This window comes from Homo sapiens, chromosome 5, assembly GCF_000001405.40.
Source record: "Homo sapiens chromosome 5, GRCh38.p14 Primary Assembly".
Taxonomy (NCBI): Eukaryota; Metazoa; Chordata; class Mammalia; order Primates; family Hominidae; genus Homo; species Homo sapiens.
In genome coordinates, this window is record NC_000005.10 from 176,134,244 (window position 1) to 176,157,419 (window position 23,176).

Sequence of the window (23,176 nt, forward strand, 5' to 3'; positions counted from 1 at the left end):
GAGCGGGCGGCAGAGGAGAGCGGGCGGCAGAGGAGAGCGGGCGGCAGAGGAGAGCGGGCGGCAGAGGAGAGCGGGCGGCAGAGGAGAGCGGGCGGCAGAGGAGAGCGGGCAGCAGAGGAGAGCGCGCAACAGAGAGGAACTGGAGCCCCAAAGACTCTAGTTTCCCCCAAATAAATGATAGCCATGAACATATTCACCTCACAAGGAGAAGCCAGGGGGCCTGCGCTGGGGGGTTGTGGGCTGAGGTTGGAAGTGGGTTTTGGGCCTTTGTGGGGAAAGTCCTCTGTTCTCTCCCCATCCCCTAGCTGCCTCTTGAGGTCCGGCCTGCATCTAGGCACAGAGGGATGGAGGAAGGGAAGCCCATGCGGCCTTGGGGTGGGAGGGCCTAGGAACCTGAGCCTGGGGTGCCCCCGGGCCAGCTGCTCGTGTCCTTGCTGTGTCCCACGTGCACGTCCAGAAACCAGGAACCTGGAACCTGGTGGGGCTCAGGGCTGAATCTGCAATCTGCACATCAGTCTGCAGATTTGAAGTCAAAGTGAAGTCGCCCTCGCAGGCAGGATGGAGAGCTGCCAAGACAGGGTCTGGCTCAGACTCAGCCAACCGCTATGTCCAGAGCCGGCCTGCTGAGGGGGAGGTGGTGGGGGGAGCCTGGGAGCAGGGGCAGCCAGCCCAGGAGAGCTAACCTGGACCTAGGGACCAGGTGCTGCCTGCCACCCACCCTCGTCAGGGGCTGACAAACCTGCAGTTGGCCACAGGGAGCTCCCCAGGGTGCAGACGGGTCCCGTCTCTGTGGCTAGCAGATACCCAGGCTGCACCCTCACGCCTATACCCAGGGAAGGGAACTGATAAGGAGGGAGAGGCTGGGGGCGAGGGGTGCGTGGAACTTTTGGTGGCAAACAAGCTCCTGTGACTGTCTTTCAGGAGAATGAAGAGGTAAGCGGGTGGGTCTGAATAGCCCCCTCCCCACACTTCCCAGGGACCACTCTGGCCAGACCTTGGCTGACGTGCACAAGCTGAATGTCTAGCTCAGCTCTGTGACGGCCTCGAGGCCCATCTGAGATGGCAGTTCCCAGAATCTGAACCACTTCTCCCCTGTCTCTCCACCCCACCCTTGGGGAGCTTGAGTGGAGACCTGACACCATGGGGGGATACAGCCTTATCCTGAGAAAAACGTCTGTAGGGGATCTTACATGGGTGCACCCTGCACACTTGCACACATGCACACACCTGTCTCCACATATGTGGACACACATGCCCATGGATGTATATCTTTTCCCACGTGCACGTCCAGGAACCTGACCAGAGGGTCGTCCAGTAGAGGACAGAGTTGAAGCCTGGGGCCTGCTGGCCTTGGGGGCTGCAGGGAGAGGAGACTCAGCCCTGCCAGGGCCTGGGTGTGGGCTCAGGATCCAGAACATCAGGCAGCAGGAAAGAACTCCTCATCCAGCAGAGTAGAAGCGGGGCCCCTCCTGAGGTCCCACAAGGGGAATTTGGGGCCAGGTGGGGTGCAAGGCAGACGTGCCAGCCTGCAACTGCCCAGGAGGCCTGGCCCTGACTTCTTCTTGTCCCCAAGGAGAGGAGGGCCTGCACCCCGGGCTCTGCCTCCCTTTCTTGACACCCCTTAGTCATCTCTATCTAATTTAAAGTATGTTTATGCTATTAATTTTTCAGCACACAATCTTAAATACCTACACAAGGAAAGTGCTACTGTCATAATGCCATGTGAAAATTCTACCAGCAAAAAATTATGTAAAAATATTATGCTAGCTGGCCGGGCAAGGTGGCTCATGCCTGGAATCCCAGCACTTTGGGAGGCTGTTTATACACGTTTTAGTTTAGTCAGACTTTCTTTTATTTATTTATTTTTTATTTAATTTAATTTATTTATTTATTTATTTTTTGAGACGGAGTCTCACTCTGTCGCCCAGGCTGGAGTGCAGTGGCACAATCTTGGCTCACTGCAAGCTCTGCCTCCCAGGTTCACGCCATTCTCCTGCCTCAGCCTCCCGAGTAGCTGGGACTACAGGCGTGTGCCACCACGCCTGGCTAATTTTTTGTATTTTTAGTAGAGACGGGGTTTCACCGTGTTAGCCAGGATGGTCTCGATCTCCTGACCTCGTGATCCATCCACCTTGGCCTCCCAAAGTGCTGGGATTACAGATGTGAGCCACTGCGCCCGGCCTATTTATTTATTTTAACTTTCATCTTAAGTTCAGGGGCACATGTGCAGGTTTGTTACACAGGTGAAATCATGTCACAGGGGTTTGTTGTACAGATTATTTTGTCACCCAGATACTAAGCCTAGTACCCAATAGTTATTTTTCCTGCTCCTCTCCCTCCTCCCACCCTCCACTCTCTGATAGGCCCCAGTGTGTGTTGTTCCCCTCTATGTGTTCATATATTCTCATCATTTAGTTCCCACTTGTAAATGAGAACATGCAGTATTTGGTTTTCTGTTCCTATGTTAGTTTGCTAAGGATAATGACCTCCAGCTCCATCCATGTTCCTGCAGAGAACATGATCTGGTTCTTTTTTATGGCTGCATGGTATTTCATGGTGTATATGTGCCACGTTTTATTTATCCAGTCTACCATCGATGGGCATTTAGATTGATTCCATGCCTTTGCAACTGTTACACACATATTTTCATAGTTAAAATGCTTTCAGTAACTATTGATGTTTTCAAATTAAAATGTGATATTATTCTCTATTTTAAGGAGTGTTCAAATTTCATAAAATAAGTATGCACTCAAATTTAATATGATCAAATAAGTTTGCCCATTTAAACTACTGCAATTCAATATCAAATGGTGTTAAATGGAGTTTGATTGTACAATATCAATTGTAAATAGGCTAATGTATAAACGAAATTATACTTGCCAGATTGTAAATATGAAATGCATGTATTTTGTCACAGGGAAAAGAACTGAAGAACAGTTTGTTGACTGAGGAGCTGAAGTATTAAGTACAGAGACACATATATATTTAAAGACCCTGTGGAAAAAAGTTAATGAACAAAAAAGAATTGGAAGAAGGTGAGAGATTACCCGAAACATCCAAAGGATAAAATGACTACTGGGCATTTGGCTAAGTAGGTAAAATTAAGTGGAAACAGGAGGAACTGTACAGAGCATAAAACTTGTATGATTAAAAAGTTTAGGGCCGGGCACGATGGCTCAAATCTATAATCCCAGTCCTTTGAATATTAATCTGACTGGGCCAGTGCACCTAAATAATTAATAAATATCCTCCTGAACCCCATCAATCTCTCTGATTCCTTAAAAATCCCACTACAAGTAACTATTGTGTTAGGCACACAAGTCCTAAACAACTCTTGAACACAAAACTTTTAAACCAGGTAAATTTTATCCTTTATAAAATTGGAATAATTTATCAGAGGGTGGAGGGTGAGAGGAGGAAGAGGATCAGGAAAAATAACTAATGGGTACTAGGCTTAATACCTGGGTGATGACATAATCTGTACAACAAACCCCTGTGACACAATTTACCTATATAACAAACCTACACATGTACCCCTGAACTTAAAAGTTAAATTTTAAAAAAGTAAGTTTTTTTGTTTTGTTCTGTTTTGTTTTGTTTTGTTTTGTTTTTTTGAGATGGAGTCTCGCTCTGTCACCCAGGCTGGAGTGCAGTGGCGCAATCTCGGCTCACTGCAACCTCCACCTCCTGGGTTCACGCCATTCTCCTGCCTCAGCCTCCCGAGTAGCTGGGACTACAGGCGCCCACCACCACGCCCAGCTCATTTTTTGTACTTTTAGTAGAGACGGGGTTTCACCGTGTTAGCCAGGATGGTCTCGATCTCCTGACCTCATGATCCTCCCGCCTTGGCCTCCCAAAGTGCTGGGATTACAGGCGTGAGCCACCGCACCCGGCCAACAACTAAGTTTTTAAAAATTTTTATTATGTCCAGTACTATGGAATCTGTTCACTGAAATGGATATTTAACATTAAAGGTCCAATTAAAGCATTTCCAGAACTTAAAAAAGAAAACAAATACTTTTTCTTGGAGTTAAGTTCTATAGCAGAAAAAAGACAAATAAACACAGTTAAATTTTAATGTATACAATGAAATAATGTATTATAGTATTATTCCAAACATACCATTTTCTAAGAAAATATTAATAACTGTATAAGAGATTTTAGCTATTCTTGCACCTAGTCTCAGATTTTTAAATAAGTGCTTTTTAGATTTAATAAATAACATTGAAGGAATGTCTATAAGAATTTACTATCAGAAATAATATGATTTCTGTCACTTCCATGCTCATAAAATTAAACTCTCAAATGTCAAATCTGATTAAATATCAAAAATTACTCATAAAAATGTCATAGCTTGGAAACTGGACGTTACTGGATTTTATAGCACAAAAAGTATAAGCTTCTCTTTAAAAATCAAAATGAAATATACTGTACTTATTCCAGGGTATATGCAAAGAGCAATAAAATCAAGGAATATGAAAGCAAATAAATTAGGAAGTCAAAACAAGACTATCTGGACATTATATAGAGTTATGAATCTTTATTATTTTAGCTCATTCAGAATATAGTGGTATAGGCATTTTCTAGGAGATATGTATAATCCAACAATATGTTTCTGTTATTTTCTATTAGAGATTTCTATTAGATGAACAATAATGTCTTACTTTATATAATGGCTCAAATATAATTTTATATGGTCCTATGTCTGAACACAGTGTACAAAATCTACATAGGTAAAAATGATGCAGCTTAATTTTAAGTAGTGAAGCAAAGCTAACTGTCTTCTGCTCAGAACAAAGTTATTTTTCTTTAAATGCATTAAACATAAAGGAAATATTAGTAGGACTTGGTGAATAACAGTTAATAGTGATAATTGAAACCATCCAATCACCTACCCATATACCATGACATTTATTGTACAGGAAATTTCATCAAAATGCTACATTGTGTAAAATAAAAGCATGGGGCTTGATTTCTTTAGGGTCTTTAATCTTTATGGAAGAATTTTAACCTAAACTAAAATTTAGAAAATGAATTCTGATGAAACTTGAAAGATTATGAAATATTTTAATCTCCCTACATCAGGAACTCCGGATAGACTGTTACTAACTGGCTTCCTATGGCCCAAGGCTGAGAGGAAAGGCAAGGCAAACATTTGGTGTCCTATCTATATAATGGAGCTTTTTTTTAACAACTCAGATTGTTACCCATCCCATCTTTCAGTAGGCTGGGAAGAAAAATAAGGAAATATTCCTTTCTTTTTAATGCAAAAAAAGATTTAAGTTGTATGTATTTACCGTGTAGAACATTATGTTTTGAAGCATATATACATTGTGGAATGACTACATCTAGCTAATTAACATATGTATTATCACTCACTTTGATCATTTTTGTGATTGAAACACTTAACACCTACTCTCAAGCATTTCTTAAGAGTATAATAAGTGATTAAGTGTAATTGTGTAGTAGGTTAGATCTACTAAATTTATTCCTTCTATCCAACTGAAATTTTATATCCTTTGATTAACATATATGCTGCCCTCCCCAATCTCAGCCACCCCAGCCTCTGGTCACCATAATTCTACTCTCTGTTTCTTTAAGTTCTATCATTTTAGCTTCCACATATAAGTGAGAATATGTGGTATTTGTCTTTGTGCATCTGGTTCATTTCACTTAGCATAACGGCCCACAGGTTCATCCATGTTGTCACAAATGACAGGATTTCCCTCATTTTATGGCTGAATAGTACTCCACTGTGTATATTTACCACATTTTTAATCCATTCATCCGTTGATGGGCACTTAGGCACTTAGCCAAGATTCCGTATCTTGGCTATAGTGAATAATGGTGAAATGAACATGGGAGTGCAGAAGTACCGATTTCATTTCTTTTGGATATATACCCAGAATTAAATTGCTGGATCACATGGTAGTTCTATTTTTAATTTTCTGAGGAACCTCCATACTGTATTCCATAATGGCTGTACTAATCACATTCCCAAAAATGTGCAAAGTGCCCTTTTCTCCACAGCCTCACCAACACTTATCTCTTGTGTTTTTGGTAACAGTCATTCTGAAAGATGTGAGGAAATATCTTGTGGTTTTGATTTGCATTTCCCTGATTAGTGATTTGAGCATTTTTTTCAGACACCAGTTGGTCATTTGTATGTCTTCTTTTGAGAAATGACTATTCAAGTCCTTTGCCCATTTTCAGTTGTTTTTTGCTTATTTGTTTGTTTGTTTGTTTTTGAGACGGAGTCTTGCTCTGTTGCCAGGCTGGAGTGCAGTGGTGCAATCTCGGCTCACTGCAAACTCTGCCTCCCGGGTTCAAGCATTTCTCCTGCCTCAGCCTCCCAAGTACCTGGGACTACATGTGCCCACCACCACACCCAGCTAATTTTTGTTGTTTTAGTAGGATGGGATTTCACCATGTTAGCCAGGATGGTCTTGATCTCTCGACCTCGTGATCCACCCACCTCGGCCTCCCAAAGTGCTGGGATTACAGGCTTGAGCCACCACGCCCAGCCTCCAATTTCTTTGTTTCTTGCTATTGAGTTGTCTGAATTCTGTATATTTTTTGGATAGTAGCCCCTTGTTAGATGTGTGGTTTGCAAATATTTTCTCCCATCCTGTAGGTTTTCTCTCCACTCTGTTCACTGTATCCTTTGCTGTGCAGAAGCTTCTCACTTTGCTGTCATCTCATTTGTCTATTTTTGCTTTTGTTGTCTGTGTTTTTAGAGTAAAATCCAAAATGTCATTGCCCAGATCAATGTCATGGAGCTTGAGCTCATGAGTTTGAGACCAGCCTGGGCAACATGGACAACGTCTTAAAAAAAAAAATTTTAAAGCCGTGTGTGGTGGCATATGCCTTTAGTTCCAGCTACTCGGGAGGTTGAGGCAGGAGGATCACTTGAGGCAGGGAGGTGGGGGCTGCAGTAAGCCATGATCATGCCACTGCATTCCAGTCTGGGTGACAAGAGACTGTCTCAAGAAACAAAAAATCATGTCATCTGCAAATGGACAACTCAACGTTTTTCTTTCCAATTTGGATGTCTTTTGTTTCTGCTGCCTAGTTGTTCTAACACCTCCAGTACTATACTGAATTGAAGTGGCGAGAGGGCATCCTTGTCTTGTTCTGGATCTTCTTTCTCCGTTGATGATGATGCTAGCTGTGGCTCTGTCATATGTGGCTTTATATTGTGTAGTTGCACATTCTTTATAGACCTAATTTGTTGATAGTTTTCATCACTAATAGATGTTGAATCTGTCAAATGCTTTTTTCTGCATATATTTAATGCTCATGGAGTCATATGGTTTGGAACTCTGTCTCTGCCCAAATCTCATGTTCAACTATAATCCCCAGTGTTGGAGATGGGGCCTCTTGGGAGGCGATTGGGTCATGGGGGCAGTTTCTCATGGTTTAACACCATCCCCCTTGGTGTTTCCATGGCAATAGCAAGTTATCATGAGATCATGTTTAAAAGTGTGTAGTGCCTACCCCCACTCCTCCTGCTCCAGCCATGTGATGTGCCAGTTTCCCCTTTGCCTTCCACCATAATTGAAGCTGAGCAGATGCTGCCATGCTTCCTGTACAACCTATGGAACCATGAGCCAATTAAACCTCTTTTCTTTGGAAATTAACCAGTCTCAGGCATTTCTTTATAACAATGCAAGAATGAACTAGTACCAAAAATTGGTACTCAGAGTGGGACAGTTTTGAAGACACCTTAAAATATGGAAGCAGCTTTGGAACTGGTAATCATCTGCAGCTTGTGAGGGTTTGGAAGGCTCAGGAGACAGGAAGATTAGGGAAAAATTTGAACTTCCTAGAGACTTGTTAAATAGTTGTGACCAAAATGCAGATTAGTGATATGGACAATGAAGTCCAGGCTGAGTAGGTTTCATATGGAGATAAAAACCTTATTGGGAACTGGAGTAAAGGTCACTCTCATATGCTTCAACAAAGAGACTGGCGGCATTGTGCTCCTGCTGTAAGAATCAGTGGAACATTGAACTTGAGAGAGGTGATTTAGGGTATCTTGTGGAAGAAATTTCTAAGCAGCAAAGCATTCAAGATTTGACCTAACTGCTTCTAAAAGCCTATGCTCATATGCCTGAGTAAAGAAATGACTTGAAACTGAAACTTATATTTGAAAGAGAAGCAGAGCTTCAACATTTGAAAACTTTGCAATCTGGCCATGCAGTAGATAAGAAAAATCCATTTTCAGGGGGAGGTATTAAAAGCAAGTTGCAAAAATTTGCCCAGGTAAAAAGGAGTCAATTGCTAATTGACAAGACAATGAAAAAACAGCCTCAGAAGCATTTCAGAGACCTCCATGACAGTCTCTCTCAACATAGGCCTGGAGGCCCAGGAAGACTGAAAGGTCTTATGGGCCAGGCTCAGGGACCTCCTGCTCTGTGCAGCCTCAATACATGATGCCCTGCACTTTGGCCACTCCAGCTCCAGCCATGGCTAACAGTGGCCAAGGTACAACTTGGGCTGCTGCTTCCGAGGGTGCAAACTGTAAGCCTTGGCAACTTCCACATGGTGTTAAGCCTGCAGGTGTACAGTGAGGCTTAGGAACCTCCGCCTAGATTTCAGAAAATTTATACAAAACCCAGAGAACCTCTAACTAGGATGGTGTGGTGGGGAGACGTGGGGTTAGAGCCTCCATATAAAGTCCCCACTGGGGCACTGCCTAGTGGAGCTGTAAGAAGAGGGCTACCATCCTCCAGACCCCAGAATGGTAGATCCACCTGTTACCAGAAAGGGGTCCGAATCCAGACCCCAAGAGAGGGTTCTTGGATCTCATGCAAGGAAGAATTTGGAGCAAGTCCACAGTGCAAAATAGAAGCAACTTTAATAAAGGAGGGAATGAATAGTGACTCCATAGACAGGGTAGGGCATTTCCAAAAGTAAGAAAAGCATCCAGCCTAGGTACAATGCGTATTTAAAACTAGAAGTGCTTTTGTTCTCAAAGTATCAAGACGTTCCTGAGTCTGTTAAGTCCTGAGTCTGTTTAGGAAACATTATTAATCTGTTCCCTCAATTGTAAACATCTTGAGGCTAAGAATGCTTAACCTCCTGGGCATGCAGCCCAACAGGACCCAGCTTCATTTTTCTTAGCCCTTGTTCAAAATGGAGTCGCTCTGGTTTGAATGCTTCTTACATATTTCCCCTCCCTTTTACAAGAGGACCCTTAATCCTAAGGGTTGCAGAAGGATGAAGGTCCATCTTTTGTAACTTCTTCATGCTGAACGGGGCGATGATATTTCCACATAACTATTAGGGTCTCTTGTATTCAGGGCAGAGAGGAGTTCAGTCAGAAGGCATTGGTACATTAAGCATCATTTGTAGCTCTGAGTTCCAGCAAAAGGTGAAACCTGGAAGATTAATAAGTGTCCAATTTAAGAAAGTATCGAGTAAGCTTATCTTGTGTTCCTATACGAAGAGTACAACCATCATATACTCAACAACATCAAAGCAAAATAAGTAAAATTATCCCAGGTAAACTAACAGGAAGGCTTTCCAAAGACTGGGCAGTTGTCGGGACCAAGCCGATATGGAGTTGACTGACAGTGCATCAATGGCAGAGATATGAGTGTCTAAAGCTTTCTTAGCCTGGGTAATATTATGTGAATAGTCTCAAACATGCTGCAACATTTGGTTTTGATCAAAGCACAAGTTCCCTCTTGAGCTGCAGTTAAAATGGCTTTGCCATGCGGTTTGGTAAGGCCACCTGCCTAATCTGAGAGGTGTCCTCAGGAGGGTAAGGGCATGGTGTGTATTACTCAAAACTGCAGCCGTGTGCTCGGCCAAGGCCTCAACTTGCAGCTCAACATTGATCGTGGCTGCCTGTGAAGAAGGTATAGCCATCTGGTGGAAGCAGATGGCTTCTATAATGAGTCTTTACAGTTTCTCAGTTAGATGGAAGACAGTCCAATTTGGTGAGGATACATCCCAGAGGATAAAGATGATCCCACATACACCTTCCAATCCACTTATAAGGTGAGTATGACCAGCTGAGTTCCACAAGCCCATAACCACCTCAAAAAAGAAGAGGCACCAGTTTTTTGTGAGTTATGTTGCCATCTCACCCACATTTTGTCTGTTAAAAGAAGGGTCTTATTCAAATTTGGGGAAAATCAGCAGCTAATAAATTATTTAAGCTGTGGTCTATGCCTCTCTGCCTTGTATTAAAAGAGAAAGTTGAGACCTTTAGAGATGAATCTGTATAATATGGGGAGTCTCAAAAACCTAATTTTACAGTAAATACTAAATCCCATTTCTTAGGGTCTGCTCCTTTTGAGGTGCTCCATTTGGTATGGGCACAGTGTGACACCCAAGGCTGGAGCATCAAAACCACTTCTGCGGTGTCTGCTAAAACCACGGGGTGACAGACTGAGAAATTTAGCTGAATGAGATGCCTGGATGGACTGCATGTTCTCTCCACAGCTCTCTGTAAATATCTCTCTTGGCTGGCTCTTGAAAATACCAGGTGGCTGTGAGTTTGAGGTGATAATACTCCCTCTTCAGCAGCTCCTGTGCTGTGGTCACATGTCAGGTACTTTGCAGCTGGTGAAGGCAGGATCAGGATTGGAATATATGTTAAACAAAGGCTGAATCTAGACACATGCACATCTAAAGGCTTTTCCAGTTCTGTACAACTGAGCCTCAACACTGTCTGTTACAACAAAATTGTCCTCCAAACATTAATTTGGGATCTTCTCCAATACATGTATAAACAGTGGATTGACTATTTGCCCATCTTTGACACTTACTGTGTTCCACCAAGAGAGACACCTTCCAAAGCAAGAAATTGTTGGACAAACTTCAATAGGATGTCTGAGCATGATCCACGTGGCAGAGGTTTACTTCCTGAAGAATGGACTTCACCTTTTAACACCACTTCATACTGAGGTCCAAATGGCTGCACAAACATTTTTTAGATCCTAACAGAGACAGAAATCTGAGTTGAAGATTCTGAATTCAATTCTTTTGTCAACTATTTTCTATATCGCCTGTGTCCAAAAGACCTACCTAGGTGCTGAGGATACAATGTTATTCCCACCCTTAGCGCCTGTACTCCAGAGAAGAATATAGGCAAGGAGAGAGACGATCGCAATGCCATCTGCACAGGGGATGTGAGCGGCCATGGTGCTACAAGCATGCTATTCATGGGAAATCTGGGAAGAGTGGAGGAAAGCTTCCCAGAAGGAGCCAGCCCAGGGAAGCTGAGGACAAGCATTCCAGGCACAGGCATTCACACTGGTGCAGGCAGGACTCTTCTATTCTTCCCTAAGATCCTAATAGCAGACTAAACAAACGAAAGAGTTCTGTAACCCAGGTAGGGGGATAAGCCATGTGTGTCTCAGAGGAGAGTGCCCTTTAAGCAAGGGTCACACAAGCAAAGCTTGGTACTCTTGACAGGGGAACTCTGGCTCTAAGTTGATATTCACTTAGGATTTGAAAGCCCAGAATTCATGGGCCTATAGAAGAAATGAAGAAATATAGCTCAACAGCTGACAAAATCAACAAATAGTTTCTGGGAGAATAAGAAAAGTGAATGAGAAAAATAAAAATTTTTGTTCATTATTTACTTTTGTCAGAATATACTTAAAAATAATGATTCCTTAATATCTATTCAGCTGGTTTCAAAGGAGATTCTCAGTAAAAGAAAGAAAATCTGAAGCTAAATGAAAGAGTTTACACAGATTCATAACATCTATAAGCAAAAGTAAGATGTGGACTTTGTCATTCAGATGGTGGATTTTGAAGCACCTCCAAGAGAGTGGCTGTTTTGAGAGATGAGTAAAACTTGTCATTATAAACATATTTATGTTACCTTTCCTCCCAAACTTTGGGATCCCTTGGAGAAAAAGAAACTATAACCTCATGTTCTTCTCCAGGTTTAACGAATAGATTCTCTAGATCCACTAAAGAGGGACTTTCTCATTCTGGGACCTAAACAGTGACAGAATAATAATTAAATGCGGACTTACAAAAAGGCAGCTTTCACTCAGTGACTCCTGCCTTACATTCCTTTCTCATTTACCAAGAGAGGTTATTTTTCCCTTTCTCCCAGTCCATCAGAGTCTCAACTCATCCTGCTCTCTTGGAAAGCGCCTCTTTTTCTTCTTTTTCTTCCATAACAAACCTGATGTCCCACAAACTGCACCCCCGATTTCCTGTCACTAACATACTCTCACTCACCTTTGGGTCTCAGAAAAGAGGTCAAAGTGTGTGGGTGACTCTTCCCCAATTCCAGCGACAAGCTGACATGCACATTTTTCAGAAATCAATCTAGAACTTGCTTTTCACATTCAAGACATTGGAGTCTACACTGAGAGCACCATAGCATACACTTCACACTAGAGAAACAGCCAGTGTTTAAAACTCTCAGTGATTCCATCATCTGGTCCTCAGGACACCCTGAAGGGGCAGGCAGCACCGGGACCCTCAGAAGGCAGGGAACCCTCACAGTCTCAGGAAAGACTACTTTATGGTTCTTTGACAATAATTCATAGGTTGATATCTAAATAACCTACAACTTTCCCAGCGTTTCTCAGAGGTAAGGTCTGTTTTGTGGATGGAGCCACGACGGCCACCAAATGCATCATCTAGAAGATGGAGTGAGACAAACCTTTCAACAATCTGTCACCATGAAAGCGACATCAGTCCGAATGCAAGACAATGAAGGCAGAGGGGAGGACTGAGGGTACCTGTAAGTCCCTGGGAGCAGGAGTTGTAGCTCTTTCTGCTCTTTCTTGGAGATCAATACTTCTAAGAACTGGTGTGGGGTTTGGGCTGTCAACTTCTACGTCAACTCTCACTACGAAGTCTTCTCCTGAGTCCTGAATCTCTAAAATTCAAAAGGGTTGTTCTTTTAGTTCAGAGACCAGACACTTATTGAATTGTACACGCCATCAGCAGTCCAACACAATGTCCTTAGGGGCCACAGAAAAATGTAGGCAAGAAGATTTTTTAAAGAATTAAAATAGGACTGGAAATGAGTGGAGAAGCAGAGAAAGCAAGAGCACATCCAACTGGTAAATGAGATGAGATCAATTTAGAGAAAATATCCCAATAGGTCCTCAGTGGTACTTGCTGTGGTCATGCACATTCACCTAGGTTTGACCCAAAACAGCAGGCATCTGCCTCATTGTCAGAACAACAGAAGATACTTGACAGATGACTGGAAGTATTCACATGTACTGACAGAGGAAATCAGTCTCAAATTTGTAGTCTATTTAGATACACAGAAAAGCAATTCCCAGAAAACATAAACATCATACCTGAAGAGCCGAGTTCCTTCTTGGGACTCTGGAAAAGAAGTGATATTATCAGAAATTCTGGACCTTATGAAATAAAAATTTAAAAATTAATATATACTAGTATTAAGAGGAAATCTGAATGAAAGAAAAGGAGTTTGAAAAACTTACTTTTTTTTGTTTGTTTTGATGGAAAGCCCATCCTCTCCTACCTGTCCCTCATAACAGGCAGGTGTCACCTGGTTGATCACAGAGCAGCCTGCCAGCCAAGGGACCACATCAGTGCAGGGAGCAGCTCTCACAGGAGCTCAGCCGGGTTCCTCGGAAAACGTCCGATCTTGCCAGGCCACGGTGCTCTGTTCCGAAAGAGAAGACTCAGTGTCAGTAAAGCCAATAGCAATAAGAACATGAACTGTGTTAACAAAATCTTTAACAAAAATAGTTCAGTTCATAGAATGTATTCTGTGAACAGCATTTTTTCCTGTACATTCATACTCACAACATTGAGAATCAACTTGATTGGTAAGTGGTGTGTGTCCAGTTCAGTGCTTTTATTGGCAGAGACTTCCAGCCTCCACAACTCCAGTCACCAAAATCAAGAATGGCTTTCTGTTCTGTTTCTACCTAATTACAAAAAAGGAACTGATTTATGAAAAGCAATATATTAATAAATAGCACTCCTTATGTTCATATCAATGCCATTTCTAGCCATAAATTAAGAGTCAGGATTAAGGAGAACTTTCCAATTGCTTATTTTCTACAAAGATAAATATTAAATTCTTTTTTTGAGGTCATCTATATACCCAAATGGACCAGAGAATTAAGCTGCTGCCTCCTGGAAAAGGCTATTTAATCTTGAGATGAAGTGACAATTGTATAAATTACATAGACCTCCCCTCTATTATTAGAAAGTTTTAACAATGAGTCCTACTCTTAGAATAATGACTTCTCCATTCTTTTCAAAAATACCACTAGTATCTTCGCATTTTCCGATTTTATTTAAAAATGTTTAAAATATATCAAAATAGACGTATTTAAAGCTTCCAAAAAGTGCCTATGATCATGAAGAACTGACTTCCTTAATCAGGGGTGACCAACATAACTGAGACCCTGAGACCCCCACATATGGAAATATTTGAAGACGTGGGAACGCCACTGGACACCACAATCTGGGCAAGTCCCTGACATGAAATGGCACAGTACCTGCCTGCAGCCTAGGCACATTCTCCTTCATACTTCAAATCATTCCTAGATTATTCACAATGCTTAATAGAGTGTAAATGCTACGTAAATAGTTGTTATACATTACCGTGTAGAGAACAGTAACAAGGAAGAAATGCTTGTACATGTTCAGTACAAATGCAACCAGCTTTTTTATGAAGGGATGTGGATATTTTTGATTCAAGCTTGGTAGAATGTGAGGATGCAGGACCCACAGATACACAGGGCTGAATATATTTAACACACACACATTTTTCTTTGCCTTATACAACCATAAAATAAAGGGAAATCAAAGGCCGCCTGGCAAGAGGGAGCTGACTTCCACAGTGGCTCAGAAAAGTCTGGGGTCCAGATTGACCCTCAAGGAGGTAAAGCTTTAATACCTTCCAGAGAACAATCGATGTGACTTCAAGCTTGTTGTGGTGTGACTTCTTGTTGTGGACAGGGAGAGGCTAAAATGAAATTTGAATTCTATACATAAAGCCCAGAAAGTCAAAGAAGCATTCTTTCTAGAAATAAAAAGAAAACTGAAAAAAAGTCTGATCGCATGTCTGTGGGGATAACAAGGAACCTGTCCAGAGGTGGGTGGCATCGAAGGTTGTTAACAGGAACATGAAGGCCTGGGCCAAGGCCCCACCAGGCATGGGAGCCCCAGGCTAAAAATCACGAAGGCTTTCAGTGCCTCCAGCATTTCTGCAAAGTATCCTCTAGGGACATTTCCAAAAAGCAGGACACATGGGATTCCTAAAGCAGAAAAGCAGCCTCAATCAATGTGAACTTGCATGAAACATTTTTAAATACCAAAAAAATGGAATCCACTCAAAGAAAGTCAGGAAGATTCAACAAAAGTAACTGGTGGAAACATTAGTGCCTCAAGAAACAGAAATCTGAAATCAACTACACAACGGTTCGTTTCAAATACAGATCATAAAGTCTACAACAGAGGAAAAAGTAGAAGATTCATGAAGCGATGCTGAGCATGAACAAGTTCAAATAGCTCCATCAATCTGTAAAATTGTTTTAATAGACTTTTTTATTTTTTTATTTTATTATTATTATACTTTAAGTTTTAGGGTACATGTGCACAACATGCAGGTTTGTTACATATGTATACATGTGCCATGTTGGTGTGCTGCACCCGTTAACTCGTCATTTAGCATTAGGTATATCTCCTAATGCTATCCCTCCCCCCTCCCCCCACCCCACAACAGTCCCCGGTGTGTGATGTTCCCCTTCCTGTGTCCATGTGTTCTCATTGTTTCAATTCCCACCTATGAGTGAGAACATGCGGTGTTTGGTTTTTTGTCCTTGCGATAGTTTGCTGAGAATGATGGTTTCCAGTTTCATCCATGTCCCTACAAAGGACATGAACTCATCATTTTTTATGGCTGCATAGTATTCCATGGTGTGTATGTGCCACATTTTCTCAATCCAGTCTATTGTTGTTGGACATTTAGGTTGGTTCCAAGTCTTTGCTATTGTAAAACTTTTTTAATGTTGGGGTTTCAAAAGCCATTTAGAACTAAAATATTGGTCAAAGGTAATATGGAAGGAAAAGATGAGCATTTAAATGAAGAAAGCTGACTGTGTTGTTTGAAAATAGAACAGAGCTCTTGATTCACCTTAGATTTGAGTAAGCAATATGAAGTGCGCAGAAATAGAAACACATAATGTCCAAAGTAATGCAAAGGAAGGACAAAGGAAAATATAATCCAAGAGGAGGCAGAAAAGGAAGGAAGAAACAAAAGGAAAAATTTTGGCTAAATTTTTAAGGTATAGTCAACTAAAGTATATGTTAAAAACTGCAAACAAAATGATGGAAATAGATACACAAGGAAACTCGTGAAGAAAATAACAGATGGGCCGGGCGCAGTGGCTCACGCCTGTAATCCCAGCACTTTGGGAGGCTCAGGCGGGTGGATCACTTGATGTCAGGAGTTCGAGACCAGCCTGACCAACATGGTGAAACCCCGTTTCTAATAAAAATACAAAATTAGCCGGGCGTGGTGGCACACGCCTGTAATCCCAGCTACTTGTGAGGCTGAGGCAGGAGACTCTCTTGAACCCGGGAGGTGGAGGTTGTAGTGAGTGAGATTGTGCCATTGCACTCCATCCTGGGCAACAAGAGGAAACTCTGTCTCAAAAAAAAAAGAAAAAAGAAAAGAAAGATGATGCACAATATTAACACCAGACAAAATTGGCTCTAAGACAAAAGGGGTAAAGAGAATTTTTATTTCTTTATTTTATTTTATTTATTTATTTTTTGAGACGGGGTCTCGCTCTGTCGCCCAGGCTGGAGTGCAGTGGCGCGATCTCGGCTCACTGCAAGCTCTGCCTCCCGGGTTCACGCCATTCTCCTGCCTCGGCCTCCCAAGTAGCTGGGACTACAGGCACCCACCACCATGCCTGGCTAATTTGGGGTATTTTTACTAGAGACGGGGTTTCACCGTGTTAGCCAGGATGGTCTCGATCTCCTGACCTCGTGATCCACCCGCCTCGGCCTCCCAAAGTGCTGGGATTACAGGCGTGAGCCGCCGCGCCCGGCCTGTTTCTTTATTTTATTACTTTTAAAGTTTGTTTAGGCTCAGACCCTCGCTCTGTCGCCAGTGCTGGAGCGCAGCAGCACGATGCTAGCTCACTGCAGCCTGGACCTCCGGGGCCACCACGCCTGGCTGATTTTTCAAACGTTTTTTTAGAGACAGAGTCTCACTGGGTTGCTCAGGCTGGTCTAAAGCTCCTGGCCTCCCTAAGTGCTGGAATTACATCGCTATGGGTCGCTATGTCTGACCAAGAATTACTTAAAAATGAATCATTCCACACAGAAGGCAAAACAATCCTAAACCTAAACATATGTAACAATATAGCTGTGTGACACCCACAAAAGAAATGATAGGATGTATAATTCTCCTTGTAGGAGAAATTTCAGATCTACAACCATCTCTCAGAAGCTGAAAGGCTAAGCAAACAAAAATATGAGTAATGATTCAGAAGATTTGAACTACAGAGAAATTAAACCCGAGCTAAGTACATGTAAGAGCTCTGCACCTGCCAGAAGAGTCCTGCTAAGCTCACAGGAGACACCAACATCAGCTGAACATCCTAGATGACGGAACCAACCCATCTGTCTCCATCCCACACTCTGACCATGAAGGGGGAAATGGGGGCTGGGGAGAAAGCTGCCAAGTAGGACAAAGACTCGTTTACAAGTTATCACCTTCATAACCGGACTCCCCACAGTAACAGGGAGAGCGGCAGAGGTAGCCAAATGCTAGCTAGAATGGACTTCACCTTTTAACACCACTTCACACTGAGGCCCAAATGGCTGCACAAATATTTTCCAGATGCTAGCAGAGAAAGCAATCCAAATTGAAGGTCCTTGATCTAATTATTTTGGTAACGATTTTCTACATATTTTATTTGTCCAAAAGACAGAGCTAGGTGCTAAGGATACCATATTCCCACACTTAGAGCTTATGCTCCAGAGAAGGATATAGACAGGGAGAGAGACGATCACAATGCCATCTGCACAGGGGGTGGGAGCAGCCGTGGTGCTCCCGGAACACTGTTTATAAGAAGTCTGGGAATTCCCAGGAGCCAGCCCAGGGAAGCTGCGGGCAAGCAGTCCAGGCACAGGCATTCCCACTGCTGCAGGCGGGACTCTTTTCTTCTGTAAGGCCTTAACAGCTGATTGAGCACACAAAAGAATTCCGTAACCCAGGCAGGGGGATACGCCACGTGTGCCTCAGAGCAGAGTGTGCTTTAACCAAGGGTCACACAAGCAAGCTCAGTACTCTTGACAAGAGAGCTCTGACTGTAAGCTGATGTTCACTTATGATTTGAGGGCCCAGAATTCATGGGCCTGGAGAAGAAACGAAGAAATATATCTTAACAGCTGACAAAGTTAACTAGTAGTTTCTGGGAAAAAAAAGAAAAGGTGAATGAGAAACATCAATACACAGCGTGGTGGGGACAGACAGGCTAATCGCTGAGGTCCCACAGCTCCACCCCACCCCGACTGTGATGACACAACTCTGGCCACCTCTCCCTTGTCTCTCTCAATGGGGATCTTCTCTTCTACTCCCCACTGCCAAAGACAGCACCGCTTCATTCACAGACTCCTGGGTGTCCCTAAAAAGTCTTCACAGCCCACTTTTCACCCTCAACCCTTTCCTTCAATCACCTGCTTTTCACCTAAGCTGAGGATCTGAAAGCAGAGGGGAAAAGCCAGGAAAGGGGAGGGGGAGGGCATCTTATTTTACCAGGTAAACAAGGGTCACTAAGAGGCATGCGGGAAGACTAAACCCATCCACCAATGCTAGTTTGCAAGTAGCAATCACAAAACCAGGACACTGAAAAACAGGAGCTGCTGACCCTATTCCCCTCCCCACTCCCTGCCATTCAAATGGTCCTTGTAACCAGGAAAGGAGATGTGGAGTCTAGAGTTACAGCAGCTACAACTGAGCAGGTGAGAGACCCTTGCCAGAGTTCATGTTAAAACTGCATTTCCAGCTATTTCAAAATCTTACGTAAGAAAGTCATCAGATAAGTTGGTCAAAAAGACTCCCGTTACCAAATGAAGGCATAGCCCCAAGATTAACTTGGTTCTCTCCTTCTCTCTTTTGATAAATGACAGTAACTTATATTCAGTCCCATTTTACAAAATTAACAAGTAGAGCGACCAGGATCTCTGAGCTTTCAGTGATTGTAGTAATAGTGCTACAAACAAATTTGTATAATTTTATAAATAAGTAACAATGAAATATAAATAATGACAGAAAAAAACAAAACATTCAGATTTCACTGTACATTATAAGCACTACAACAAAATGGGGCCTGAGGAGAAGATTCCAGGGCAACGCCAGTGTGCGGGGAAAGGGGTGGGAGAGCCTGGCCCCGAGAAAGGAGAAATCCAGCACTGACTCCCAGTGCAACTGTTACATCAACGGAGAGCGCCCTAGAAAGCTGTCTTTTCCTCACTGACACTGATCTCAGGACCCCGATGCTGACTTGCAGCCAGGGGTCGGCTGCATTGAGGACATGAAGGCGGGTCTGGGAAGCCGTCCCAACACCGCAGGCAGAAGGAAGCTTCCACTCCTCAGGCAGATACTCCCCGGTGAGAATAAGGCACAGTCAACGATGCCAGTGACACCAGACCCCTGACTAATAGGTCAATCGGTTCAATGGCAATGAGTCTACGGGACGGCCTGTTTGTAGCCCAGAGCCACAGTTCAAAGCGCTCCAGATGCAGGACTCCCTGCCACTGCCTGAGCCTCAGCAGAGGCCTGCCAACATTTTCTTCCTGCTTCCATCCAGTCCAGGAAAAACAATGAAGATTAGATCACACTCACCATTATAGGCACTGAATTATTTCATGTTACTGTCATGTCTTCCTTTTTTCTCTCACAGATCATAAGCCACCGCTTAACCTCAAAGAAAACCATAAAGGCTCTGACTTTCCAGATGTAAAGCCCAGCCGATTCTAATACTACCACCCATCTTTGCCCCATCCTCACGCAGCTGCTCTGGAGGGCAGACAAGACAGCACCCCAGTAGCATGTGTACCATGTCAGGAAAAGCAACGAGCCCAGCTATGGGGGCACATGACCATCAGCAAGAGAGAAGCTGCCTCACGGACGCACCTGAGTGCTGCCTCTCCACCACAGACACCCAGAAACTCACAAGCTGGAAGCACTCGCTCACTCCAGGATTCAACTCTAAACTGGACATTTCCTAGCTGAAATAATCACAAAACTGCAACAACAGAGCAAAAGAGAGGTAAGGAAGACGAAGCCGCAGGCAGCCTGTCACCTGTATAGGTGCTAAGTGTGTTCTAAGCCATCTTCAGGAACCTTGCACAGAAATATATTGTGGTGGTCTTAGTTTAGGACAAAGCACAAAACTTACAAGAAACTAAGGCCAACCAGTAACTCCTTGAAACAAACGAGCTTTGTGGGGTCATTTGAAAAAATTCAACTAGGAAATAACAACAACAGTAACACAGCAAAAGCATCTCACCCAGTACTGATGTCATTCCTGAATCTCGTGGTTTCTTTCCAGTTTGTACCAATAGAATGCACAGGAAAAGGCTTCGCTGTGCTTAGCAGGTTCCGATGTGAGGCATCAGAATATGGGTCGCAGATGGAAGAGGTGCCCATCCATCCAGAGCCGGTATTTGGTCCCAAATTCCACAGCCACAGAGTTCTGCACATGCTCTCCCGTGACAGCTGGATAGGGATGGCCTCCTGAGAAGCCACAGGCTATGGCCCTGCCAGCCTGGCACTGAGGCAGGGCGACACTTCCAGCTGAAGGGAGTGTTCTTCAATACCTCTGGCTGAAGGAAGCTGTGCTGGGAGGGGTGACATCAAGAGTGCAGGCACCGCAGCCCCATGTTCTGCGTCTCAGCTGCAGAGCCATGAATGGTTCCGCTGGGAACAGGTCCCGGCCTCTGAGCTCACAACTTGCAGTTGACGTAGCTTTAGTGATGATTCTTTGATCATCATCTACAGTCTCCTGGCAGGACACAGGGAGGTGTGAGCAGCTGACCCCGTCTGACGACTCAGACCTGACTTGCTCAGGAGAGCCAGCCCGATCCGGTCCACTTTCTTGAGGTCTGACGTCCAATCCACCTCACTGGGTTCCAACAGATCTCCACTTTTGGAGGAAGGATCTTCACTTGATCTAAGGTTAGGTTTTACATCTTTAGGCTTGCTACTCAGAGAAGTAGTTGCAGTCATTTTTTCATATCAGTCGTTTGGGATCATAGATGGTAATGTTCCTTTATGTTCCTTTTCCTATATTCTGAAATGGAAATTCTCTCAATTTTTCCACAGCCTATTCCTCGGACAGGGCTGGGCTGGCTTGAATAACTGTGGTGCTCATCTCATTGGTGGTATCACTCTGAGTGTGACAAAATTTTAAAAATAATCAGATAAACTGAATACAACAAATTCAAGTCATGCTGATATAAACTCGGGTAATGTAATAAAGGAATCTACACGGGTTATCTTTCTGAATTAGATGTGGTATACACAAAGGAGTTATTTTGCAACGGGAAATGCAGGCTATTAGAAAATTTATGTTTGTCGCTTTGTAAAACATAGAATATGAGGAAAATAAACAGGAGGTATACACCAGTCATATCTGAAATTTACATAAAGGACCAGAGTCAAGTAAGTTTTTGAAAATGTGAGGGACTTGTGTAAACTTTATAATGAAAATCTAAATACATTAGTCACGAGGCAGAGTGGGGGTTGGAGGCGCAGCCGGCTCGCAGGGCCCCGCCCTTCCTCTGTCCCTGCTGCTGCCTGTGCTTGAAGAGCCAAAGATGTTAACTCTCATGTGGACCCGTCCCTTTCCTGTGTCTAAATGCATGTGGCTCTAATAACGCATGACTTATCGCGGTCATTCCACAGCACTGGACATTTGGGAGAGCCTAGTACTAGCGGTGGGTAGAATAATTTCTCCTATGGCCCCTTCTGAGCCTATTCACAATAAGGCTGGGCTTGGCAGGCCAAGGAGCACTGTGGCTCCTTCCAGTTATAGAGGAGCCCAGGCCCTGCGGTTGGTGGCACAGCATCTTCACAGGCTAAAGCTCAAAACGCCATGACCCGCCGTTCTGCAGACCTAAGACAGGTTGTACTTTCACTGTCAAGATTATGCTGATCAGCAGCCTAACTGCTTCCTTTCATGCTCTTATCCCTTCAGGTTTCATTTATCTTTTTTGTCACTTTTCTTCCATCACTTCTATCACACTTCTTAGCCTTTACTCTAAAATGGGCTGCTGTTTATAATGACTCATTTACCAGAACATTTCTTTTGCTCAGGACAGAATTTTTAAGGTGGACAAGCAAAGCCTAAAGTCCCTTCCAGCCCTGCAATACTATGGGGTCTACACAGAAGTAGAAGACTGCTCTTCTCACTCATTGGCTTTGCTTCAACAAATGGTTCGGCTTCTGCCGTGATGAAGACCAGCTCACTCAAACCTTGGTTCCTATGAAAGTAACTGAAGAGCTTCCAGAATACAATGATAGTCCCAAAGGGATCTGATGTGGCTGAGTAGGGCAACCTCAGAAACACCATCAGAAACAATGAAAACCATACAACAAATGTGCTCATCATATACTTACAACCAGATCTCAAGTCTTCAGTCATCTCATCACATTTTGTTTGCTCGTAAAAGATGTGTGACAGGCAAGGTCCATGACCCCTCTGCCCTCTTCATTTCCATAGACCACATTCTGTGTGAGATTCATTTCTAAAAAACAGAATTCCAAAACTATCCATTGACACATGTAACAACTAAAATGATACGACATTCTCACATAATTGTTTTATCTAGATGACTGCCTTAATTACCAACAGCACTGAAATCTGCCCAAAATGTGTTGGAAAAAGAAAAATCCATTTCCCCAAATGAAAATATCTCTTTTATGGCAGACAAGCCAGCTGTGCTCATGAAAACAAGTCAATAATTGAGACTGAGAAATAAAGAAAAAAATGCTAAGACATAGAAAGGTACATTTCCACTAGAACTCTGATGAAAGGTACGATTTCTGAGCAATTCTCCCTATACTAGTATATTTGAAATTTTGTCTGAACTATAAAACACTTAAATATTCCAACCTAAAAGACTGACACAGCCCACATGAATATACACCCTATCCAAAATGTACAAATATCTGTTT

The 23,176-nt window shown here is 43.2% G+C and overlaps 1 pseudogene across 1 annotated transcript in view, besides 4 other annotated features; it reads right to left on the reverse strand.

Moving 5' to 3' along the window:
• Window positions 423-717: a silencer, noted in NCBI's record as "tiled region #12759; HepG2 Repressive non-DNase unmatched - State 20:ReprD". NCBI's record gives its function as "represses a minimal TATA promoter and a strong SV40 promoter by Sharpr-MPRA in HepG2 cells {active_cell/tissue: HepG2}" and the evidence as "EXISTENCE:reporter gene assay evidence [ECO:0000049][PMID:27701403]".
• The window catches only part of CEP192P1 (CEP192 pseudogene 1), a 56,211-nt pseudogene continuing 41,876 nt past the window's right edge, over window positions 8,842-23,176 (reverse strand). Inside the window, exons 18-26 of the transcript NR_036494.1 lie at window positions 22,619-22,746; window positions 20,508-21,389; window positions 13,771-13,895; window positions 13,443-13,627; window positions 13,296-13,323; window positions 12,723-12,862; window positions 11,846-11,964; window positions 10,782-10,952; window positions 8,842-9,383 (exon numbers count right to left, since the gene is read on the reverse strand). The product of NR_036494.1 is annotated as a CEP192 pseudogene 1 (transcript). The remainder of the gene's footprint in view (window positions 9,384-10,781; window positions 10,953-11,845; window positions 11,965-12,722; window positions 12,863-13,295; window positions 13,324-13,442; window positions 13,628-13,770; window positions 13,896-20,507; window positions 21,390-22,618; window positions 22,747-23,176) is intronic.
• Window positions 18,092-19,076: an enhancer, noted in NCBI's record as "H3K27ac-H3K4me1 hESC enhancer chr5:175579338-175580322 (GRCh37/hg19 assembly coordinates)". NCBI's record gives its function as "activates a minimal SCP1, AML or CMV promoter by ChIP-STARR-seq in naive H9 embryonic stem cells {active_cell/tissue: H9 hESC(naive)}" and the evidence as "EXISTENCE:reporter gene assay evidence [ECO:0000049][PMID:30033119]".
• Window positions 18,283-18,577: a silencer, noted in NCBI's record as "tiled region #4969; K562 Repressive DNase matched - State 8:EnhW". NCBI's record gives its function as "represses a minimal TATA promoter and a strong SV40 promoter by Sharpr-MPRA in K562 cells {active_cell/tissue: K562}" and the evidence as "EXISTENCE:reporter gene assay evidence [ECO:0000049][PMID:27701403]".
• Window positions 19,077-20,059: an enhancer, noted in NCBI's record as "H3K27ac-H3K4me1 hESC enhancer chr5:175580323-175581305 (GRCh37/hg19 assembly coordinates)". NCBI's record gives its function as "activates a minimal SCP1, AML or CMV promoter by ChIP-STARR-seq in primed H9 embryonic stem cells {active_cell/tissue: H9 hESC(primed)}" and the evidence as "EXISTENCE:reporter gene assay evidence [ECO:0000049][PMID:30033119]".